The sequence below is a fragment of the Homo sapiens genome, chromosome 2 (assembly GCF_000001405.40).
Source record: "Homo sapiens chromosome 2, GRCh38.p14 Primary Assembly".
NCBI classification, from domain to species: Eukaryota; Metazoa; Chordata; class Mammalia; order Primates; family Hominidae; genus Homo; species Homo sapiens.
Genome location: NC_000002.12, coordinates 235,210,025 through 235,220,474, shown reverse-complemented (window position 1 = coordinate 235,220,474; position 10,450 = coordinate 235,210,025).

Genomic DNA, 10,450 nt, shown 5'->3' with positions numbered 1-10,450 from the left:
CCTCACCTGGAAAACGGGAATCATTCTAACAGCACTTCCCTTACCGGGCTCCCCTGAGGGTTGAGTGAAATAATGAAGGGAACGTGCTCAGCAGGAGACATACCATGCCCTCTATAAGCTTTCACTCCTGTCACTGCTGGATCTCACTGTGGCCAGCATAGAGATGTTGCTCAGCGCTGCCTTCAACAGGAGGTGGTCGTCTGGATCCTCCACCTGTCGGCTCCTTCAGAGCCCACCCTTGGCTTTTGAATCCAGGTCCTACTCTTCTCAGGGAGGTCCCAGACTGTGTAGGGTGGGACTAGGGTGGGGGGTTATGGTAAAAGGGCCTAGCCCTGTCTACCAGTGTAGGCCTCCATCAATGGGAAGCACTTCGTGGGGGCAGGGGAGCTCTGTGTCATCTCTTTTTCCTTCTCAGATGTCATCACCGACATGTTCCTGGGTCTAAGTCTGTTTCCTGAAGAACCCAGCAGGCCAGCTTGTCAGTTCACCTTACCTGACCCCGTCCACCTGAGGGCTAAAGCCTTGACCTCTGTGTTATGGCCACGGCCTTAAAGACCATCCTCTCATTTCTTCACCCTGTAAGTTTTGCTCATCCTTCAAGAATAACCTGTTCACTTGCTAGTCTTCCCCAAGACCCTGAAGTTATGTGCCCCTCCAAGCCCCAGGTCACTCTGCTCACTCCCAGGGTTGTCTGGGCGACAGGCAAAGCTGGCACCACCATAGGCAATGGGGCACCCAACACACTCCTCAAATCTATGGTGTCAAATCTACGGCAATAATTTGGCTTAATTTTCCCTATGCACTCTACATTCTCACTAAATATTATGGAATTGTTGAACTTAAATTAGGAGTTTTGTGAGAAAGATTTTCTCCCCTTCTTTTAATAGAATTATCCATTTAAGAGAATCGTACATTGAACAGATTCAATACATTCTCCCCAAGTGATTCTAATAAATGGAACCACCCAGGCTCTTTAAACGTTCAATTATGTTGGGGGTTGAAGGGGCATGTGTTTTGACTTTTAAAAAAATCTGAAATGAATCAGAATTCCTCCATACGAATCCTGGTAAATGTGTTCACAGAGTCACCATTCACAGCTCCAAGGGAAGCTTGGGAATCATAACCTTACATCAGTGTCCAGGCTGTCATTTCCAGGCTAATTAGCTGCCAGATGACTGAGAGGACACGTGGATGAACACAGGGCAAAGGGGACCCCGTGGGAGAAGCCAGTCAATGGACTCTGAGCTCAGGGACCAATCTGGACTCTGGGTCGTGGCCTCAGCTTAATGAGGTATGCAACGTGCCTCTGATTGAATCTCCTTGCACATACTCTGAACTCAGGAGAATCAGAAAGGTGTGAGTCAGTGGGGCCAACACTCAGCTCCTCCCCAGCCTGGCTCTGAGACCCTCTGTGAACCCTGGTGTCCTTGCCTGGGACAAACAGATTGGCCGATCTCCACTTTATTGGGCCCTTCCGAAAAGTAAATGAGACAATGGCAAGGAGTATTTAGTGGAGGCTGAATTTGAAGCACAGGACTGGGGGATTGGATGAATTTTAAATGAGGTCTAGTCGGATCTCCTGAGACTGTAAGTGAGGGAGCTGGAGCACAGACAGGGGAAGAGACTTCCTCGCTGTTCCTGGAAGAGTGAGTCTCAGGACCCAAGTTTCCATGCAACCCATCCTGATCACGTCAGCTCCGCCTCGCTGATGAAACTTCTAGCGATGAGATTAAAACCCAACATGTGTTGACTTTCTCCCGTGCCAAGTCCTTTTCACTCATTATCTTCATTCCACAAACAACCCTATGAAGCTGGTGCTATTACTTCCCTTTTTTGATGAGGAAACCTCGGTTCAGAGTTTGGAAACTTGCTCAAGATTATGTAGCTAACTGCTGGCGGTAGAGGACTGGAACGCCATTGGCATCCACAATGCTGCTGGCATCTGTTACCCAATCAGGCCTCCCCCTGGAAGAATCCATACTGCCTCCCAATCCTCAGTAGTAATGGGAGTTTTATTTCATTCTCCAAACAGATATCACTTGTTGTAATAGAGTTCATGCATATAGAGGAAAACATGTGTTTAAATAATGCATTTTAAAATGAATGTTATTAAATGTTTCTTTTTCAAGAACATTTTTATTTTATGTTGATAGTTTTCCCAGCTTTGGGGCCCATGACAGAAAAGTAAAGAAGATACGTGCGCATGCGCGCGCACGCGCGCACGCACACACACGCACGCGCGCGCACACACACACACACACACAATTTCTCCTTGTTACTTTCCCCTTTTAAAAAAATCTAACTTGTTCCTTCCTCAAAATATTTATATTTTAATTAAAGTGGCCTAAGGCAAAACTAATTTTCCTGAGAGATTACTCTTCACTGATCTCCAATTACAGGCAGTTGCTATAGTTACACCTGAATTAAGCAAGATACATGATATAATAACTTCACAATGTAGAACTTCTCCCAGAAATGTGTTGCACACTTCCACCATCTATTGGGTAAGTAGAAAGGCTTTTCAGGGCTCCCTCTTCCAAATTAGCTTTAAGAAAGATTTAATGGGAGGGAAAGGAAGGGAGGGGTCAAAGGGAAGATCAGAAGGTTTTTACAGTGGTGGTGTGCTTCTGTGCCCTCACTGTGTGTTTTGTGAAGACATTGAATAAAGCAGTGACTCTTTAACAAAATCTATGAATTAGGCCCTTTAGTTGGTGTCAACCTAAATTTCTGCCAGGGCTGAAGTGGTGGGGGATGGTTCCTACTAGGTAGAACTTGAAAGCTCTGTGAGAGACATGTGTATAGTATATATTTTTTTAATAGTTTCAAGCGAGGACAAGACCAAGAATGATTTTTATTTTCATAAAGAAAACTGTTAGAAGAATGACAACAACAAAATTGCATGTGGCAATGACTTGTATTTTTTTTTTAATAATTCCCCAATGACCTTATTTAGTATGGAGAATGTTGAAAACCAAACATCAACTTTTGGAAGGTAAACTTCAAAAAGGCTTTCTTGGGTATTGAAAAATGTTGACTACAAGACAGAATCAAAGATATGGCTATTTTTCTTCTTCTTTTTAACTTAGATCAGAATTGTATTATTAAATAGCCAACAATAGACACATTTGGAGCATATATGTTTTTAATTCCAATTCTATGTGTGTCTTGGGAAATCCTTAGGGGGTTTTTGCTAAAATCATACAGATCATGAGTCTGGATCTTGTACTACTCCCTCCCCCATAGCTCTTCCTTCACACACAGAAAATGCAGGGGGAGGGGGAGAAGAAGGACCTAGCGTGGGATGAGCCCTGCTGTGGCTCAGCTTCCTGTTGGGTCATCTTCAGAAGACCCTGCAAGGCAGGCGTCATGGATCAGGAAGTCAGGCCTCATAGAGGCAAGCAATTTGTCCGGAGCCTCAGTGTCAGGATTCAACCCTAGACAATGCCCAGCCTCTCCACTGAGCCTCTGACTCCCCAGTGGATGCCTTTCCCCTTACTGAGCAGAGAGTGAAGATGACTTTGAGTTCACCTCAAGGTGCCACATTCTTATTCTATTGTCACAGTGATGCAAACAACACAAACATCTCAGGAGAAAAAAGAACAGTCCAGGAACCTCGCCACAGGGTTAGGCTGATCAACCAGACTTTTAAGTTTTGGCTTTCTTTATTTTTGCAGCATTTTTCCTATGTGTGGACCCAATTTCTTCATTATTATGTGATATGCAGATTTTATCTTTCCTTTGCAGGATTAAAATATTAGTTTCATTATTATTACTAGCTACAGATCATTTTGAGATGTATTCAAACTCTTCTGTCCCTTCCTCACTAAAGTGTTATTTTAGAGAAATCCCTGGTTACACCTGCCTCCCACTCCACAGTGGGAGTTCTGTCAATATTAATTGATAATCGATGATGAGGAGTCTGGACTCCCTCCTTCAACCCTGGAGTATGTGTTTTTGATGACCTGCTGCCTAGGTGAACAATGACTAATCTTACTAACAGAGCATAAATCTCATTTTCCAATTTGCCACATCTCTCCAACCAAACTCAACCCTTTGAGGAGCAAAGATGCACCTGTGTCCTTGAACTATCAACCCAGTTACAGGATTATGCTTCCCAGAGTCCCTAAAGCCCTTGCCCAGTCAGCTGCCTCACAGGTGAGCTCATCAGGATGAAACTCTCCCCGTGGTCCTTGACCTCCCTGCTACCCCAGGGTGAACTTGACTGGGCTGAGAAAGAATATTATCCTCATGCTTCATGGGTCCTACCTCATGGCTGGGGACTAAGCAGGACCAAGCACCAGTTTAGAGACAAGTTCCTCTTGGGCAATTTTTACATTTGCAAACCAAAGAAGTGGAGCTCTAAAGCAGGGTTGGGGTGGCTTTCATTTCTCTCCTTTTCCATTGGCGGCCAATGGCATTTCCAACAAAAGTACGTCACCTTGGCCTGCTCATCTGCCTGTTTCTCTTCTTGCCTCTTTGTCCACTCAAAGTCCCTGATACCCAGCCTCCTGGCCTGCCTTCTCACACCCTGAATAATCTGTTCATCTTCTGCCCACTTACCTCTGAGCACAGACCCAGTGAAAACTCCTTTAATTCGGATTTATGCAGCAAGTAATGGATGCACCTCACAATAGCAGCCGGGGGAAACAGCAGCACTCCTCCCAGCCTCCATGGGGGATGTGCAACCTCCCCTGGACAGCCTCTCTGCTGATAGCTCCATGACGAAAGTATTGAGTAAGGAACATAGCCTTTCCTGTGTGCCAGGCGAAGTTTCAGGGGCTTCAGCTCTACTGTGTAACAGACTCCTGACAGCTCCTGCTATACTCAACAGTGTTCGAGATTTCTAAGTAGGACTGTCCTGGACAACCCCAAACACGTGCTCACTCTACCTCTAGTCATGATTCCTGCTGAAGTCTTGAGAAAACTGAGCAGAGAGAAGCTACATGCATTTTCCAAGGTCACTCACCTAGTGAGAGGAGGAGGTAGCCTTGAACCTGGGTGGTTTGGCATCAGCATGGGTGTTCTATGCTGTAGCACAGGGGTCCTCAACCCCCAGGCCACAGACCGGTACCACACAGCAGGAGGTGAGCTGTGGGCAAGTGAGTGAAGCTTCATCTGTATTTACAGCCACTCCCCATCTCTCGAATTACTGCTTGAGCTCTGCCTCCTATCAGATCAGCGGCAGATGGCATTAGATTCTTATAGAAGTGCCAACACTACTGTCAACTATGCATACAAGGGATCTAGGTTGCATGCTCTTTATAATAATCTAATGCCTGATGATCCATCACGGTCTCCCATCACCCCTAGATGGGACTGTCTAGTGGCAGGAAAACAAGCTCAGGGCTCCCACTGATTCTACATTATGGTGAGTTGTATAATTATTTCATTTGTAAATTGCAATGTAATAATAATAGAAATAAAGTGCACAATAAATGTAATGGGCTTGAATCATCCCCAAACCACAAAACTATCCCCCCTCCAACCTCCCTGGTCTGTGGAAAAATTGTCTTCCATGAAATCAGTCCCAGTGTCAAAAAGGCTGGGGACCGCTGCTATTAGCACCTTCTACTGCCTACTCTGCATTCCTGTTTCAGTGCCAGAAAAACAGGATCAGAAGCCTGGTGCCCTGCTTCTGAAAGGGCTGTGTTAAAATCAGGACTGGGCAAATGAGCAGGAATTAGAGGGACCCCCACCTGGAGCTCCTTGGAACCAGCTCAATGCAGACCAGAGAAGTGGCCATGTATCTTGAGAGTCATCCTTGCCTCCTTGCCCCAACCTCCCAGGACCAGCTCCTGACAACTGGACTGTTCTGCTCAAGAGCACCTGCCTCAGAAGGCAAAGGCATTCACCAGACAACTCAATGCTCCCTGCAAGGAGGGTCTGCCATTTAACAGAGGCCAGGGAAGGAGTGGCCCATTGCAAGGATGCAATGCTTGTTGAAATGTCATGGGACTTTGGGAAAGCAATTGTATCTAAGGCCTTGTCTCAAGTCATGAGGTCACTTATGGCCTCAGAGATGAGACAGGAAGGGAAAGGGCTTCGGCAGGTGGCCTCGGGCTTGTGTTACAAGCAGCCGATAGCCCCAGAGGTGCCATAGTGGGGCCTACCCATGCCAAGGGGCGTGATAAAGGGAGGGTTGGTGCTGAATTTGTGTCAGATCATTGTGTAAGGGGCAGCTATCACCTGAACCAAGGCGGGGAACTCCTCAATATGGGAATTTTGGATATTAACCAACAGGGAGACTGTAGGGCCACAAGAGAGCCAATGTCACCAAACAGACCTCCTAAAGCAGCTGTTCAGGGTGGACACACAGTCGCCCCGGCCCACGTTTCATTGGTCACAGTAAGTCATGTGGCCAAGCCCAGTTCAGTGGGGAGGGAGGCACTCCTTGCCCAAAGGAAGCCATACAGGATGGGAGGGACAGAAGAGCTGTGAACCAACACTACAATCGACTCCTCTCTAACCTTTGAGGGACATCTGCCTGCTACCCTCAAGCACAATTTGTGGGTCCAGCCCAGCCTAAAACCTCCAGGAGGAGCAAATGAAGAAGGGACGGTTCTTACCAATGGAATTGTCTGTCCCATGTGTGCTGGGCAAGGCATGGAGCAGGCTCGGGGACAGAGGGTCAGATGAGGTGGACAGTGAGATAGGCCCTGGTTTTGCAAGGCTGGTGAAGTGGGATCAGGGACACGTACAAAGTCCCCTCCATGACATCAGGGGGTTCAGCTTCTCCTGCTATAGGCCACTGAGACAATGAACTTCAGAGCACCTGCATGTAAGGAAATTAAATGATTTGTGAGATTGTTTCTAGAATGAAGAAGAGCTATGAGTACTACAGGTTAAATGAAAGAGCAAAATAATGAGGAAACCAGAAATTGTTAATAAGCAGCCAATAGTATTTCATTTAATATTCAGAACAATGTGGAAGGTAGGTACTACTATTCCTATTGTTCAGAAAAGGGAGCCAGGATTTGGAGAAAACTTATGACTTGCTCAAAAAAAGCTTATTCTTTGTCCCATTAGATGTACTAAAATTAGGCAGAGGTGGAGAAAATGATGGAGAGGAAGGCTTACTTTTGTGGATAAAAATATTGCCAGGGGTAAATAGTTCCTGTGTTCTGCAGATATGATGGCATCGTACCTGCTAGATGACAATTGGAAGCACATATGGGAACCAGAATCACCAGGAATGCACTCCCAGAAAGAATCTGAAGGACATGTCCGAGACCAAAATGGGGTTTGGGGCAGAGCCTAGAATGAGTCTTGAGCTCTCAACCCCTAGTCTGGGAATTGGTCTTCTTTGGTGCCTTCACTGTAGTTGGTTTCAGCTGTTAGTTCTCAACTAGGGGCATATCTCATGCTTCTGAAAAGCTGGAAGTCCCAGCTAGCGCTCTCCTCCGTAGCAAGGCTGTTTTGATAGCAGTGGTATCTTCAAAGGACCTTGGTGGGTTGGGGGTTACAGGAGATAATTCCTTTCTACTTGCACGGTCACTGTCAGTCCTTAATCTGGATATTTTCAGATGTATAGTCACTTTTCTCTGCAGACAGGCTTCTGTGATCACCAGGGGAAAATACAAATCCATTACTATAATTTGCATAATCTGCCCTTTGATCTGCTGAATTGTTTTCTCCTTAGAAAAATGCTACTCTGCCTAATTTTTTATTCTTAACCTTTTCCGCAGTGAAAATGTTTTCCAGGCTTCAGAAATTTCTTAAGCGGATATGACATAAATTTAAAAAGAGATCCTTTAACATCACCAGCTTAAGTGCCAGAATGGCCATGTGGCTGGGCTCTTCCTGGGACTTCCTGGCAGCTGTAACAGAAAAGGCTTGATAGAGCACTTAGTAAATGAAGCTGGTAAATCAAATATTCATTCTAAGAACTGTCCCTAAGTACTTAGTACCAATTTTACTACTATTCTGCAATAGACTCAGCACACAGAGAGATGGGGACTGGAGATTAGCTGGAATTGGGGGGCAGGGACCATCCCTCCATTTACTTTCTTTTTTAGTCCTAGACCATCACAGCACAGAGCCCAAAGTACTCAAATAGGCAAGTGATAACACATTTTAAAAGTGACCTTTTCAAACCGACTTTACAAAAGTCACTTTTGAAGCCCTTAGTGACATTTGAAATGGGTACTGGATGATTTCAAAGAATTGTTAATTATGTTAGGTGTTAATAGCATCATAATTATATAAGAAAATCCGAATTTTTCAAAACAGGAAAGCAAACTGAAGAAGGTCAGAATGAAATGATCTGGCATCTAGAATTTGCTTTACAATATTTCAGAAAGAAGGAAGGACAGGAGGAAGGAAAGAGGGAAGGAAGGAAAGGAGAAAGGGGGAGGGAAGGAAGGAAGACAAGAAAACGAATAAATGAATTATGGCTATTTCCTGATAATATTTGAGATCTGGGTGATGGGTATATGGGGCCATTGTAGAGATACCTTTGTGGTGTTTGGTAATTTTCATAATAAAACAAGCAGGCCTTCGATATGCATAAGCTACAACAATAAAATAAAACATCTATGTTTCAAGAATGAGGCAAGCAGAGAACAACAAGGAGCAAGGACCTAGAAGTATTTGAAACATAAAAGGATCATTGTTATAAAAACTAAGAGGAAAATCTTCACCCGAAATGAATGTCTTTCATGGAACAAAGGAAAATCTTATAAAGGGATGGTTTTCTATTCTTAAAGATATAAAAAAAAAAGTATGTCATTTTTTAAACAGAAATATGATGGTAGAAGGGGAGAATAAAATGTTTATTAAACCAAATGGCATCATTGTTGGAAGAAATTAAAATAAAAAAGGCCCTTCAGCAAGTTAAGCAAATGATATACAAAATAAAAATGGAGAAAAATACTCAAAAAGTTGAAATTTATTAAGAAATAAGGAGAATGTGAATAAAGATAACATTTTTGCATATCAGAATTGATACTAGCCAATGTTGGCCACCAGAGTGCAAGAAATAAATGCTCTAGTTTGGGGCCTACAAATTGTTATAGTATTTTTGAGGAGCCATTTAGCATTATCTGCTAACATTTTAAAGATACACACTCTTTGGCCTTGTAATTCTACCTCTAGGAAAATATCCTATAGAAATGCTTGCACACATGCAGAATGATACATTCACAGAAATATACAATGCAGCTCTGTAAGTGTGAAAAGCTATTAATCACTTAAATGTCCAACCGTTGGGAGGAGGTTGAATAAACTATAATATGCGCATTTGACAATGACTACTACATAGTTAAGGAAAATAATCACAAATATGTCAGTACTGACAGGAGAAGAAAAGAAAGAATTTCACTTTTACAATTTTCTATTTTTTGAATTTTAATGAAAAGCATGAATAAATCTGTTATTTGTGTAATTTTATTAAAGGTAACACAAAAACATTTTTAAAAATCAACAGACATAGAAAATAGAGTCTGGAAATACTGTCCTTTGTAATGGAATCAGAATTGGTAATCAAAGATATAATGCAATTGACTAAGACTAAATATGAAAACAGCTCATCATATTCAAGGCAAAACAAACAGAAAATTTCTCAAGACATTCTGGTAGAATGTTTGAGCTTTAAGATGAAAAAGAAACCCCAATTATTAGTCAAAAATCAGGTCACTTTAATTCTATAAGGATTTGAAACCATCTCCTTTATATAGTGTTCACTGTTCTAAACACTGGAGATGAACAAGATGAAGACTTTTGGTAGGAAAAATATGGTAAACAAGGAAACAAATAAACAAAAAAGTCATATGTTGTAATTCAAAAAACTAAAATATGGCAGTGTGACAGAAAAGAATGGCCTTTACTATAGTAATGATTAAACATGTCTTTAAGTCTGTAAATGTTGAAGATAAATATTTGAGAGTGAGAAAGTTGTCATTGAAAAGAATTATGGATAAACATCTAAAACCAATAAAAATATATCCTTAGAGATATAAATACTCATATTGATGACTCATAGAAAAAGCTGTGAAATATCCCAGATAAAAACATTTTGGAAAAAAAAATTTATGTTAAAAAGATAATGGAAAGAACATAATTTTTAAAAAGTTTCTCAAGTTAGATGAGTAAAAAATGAGAAATTGGCCAGCAAAAGACAGATAACCCAACGGGAAAATGATCAAAAGACTTGAACAGGCACTTTACAAAAGAGGAAATCCAAATGTCTAATAAACATGCAAAAGATGCTTGACTTCCTTAGTCATCAAAGTGAAAATTAAAGCCACAATGTGGTATCATTGTACCCCTCTCCTCTCCTCTCCTCTCTAATTTCTCTTCTCCCAGTCTGAGGGGATTCTTCTGAAGGTAGGCTGGGGAGATAGAATCATACTTCCTTAGACCCAGATGTAGTCTCTCTTTTCAGTTTTTGCCTTTGTTCCTAACTAGTCTTAGAGTCAAATCATCTTTTACATGGCATCTTCTGGATTTGTAA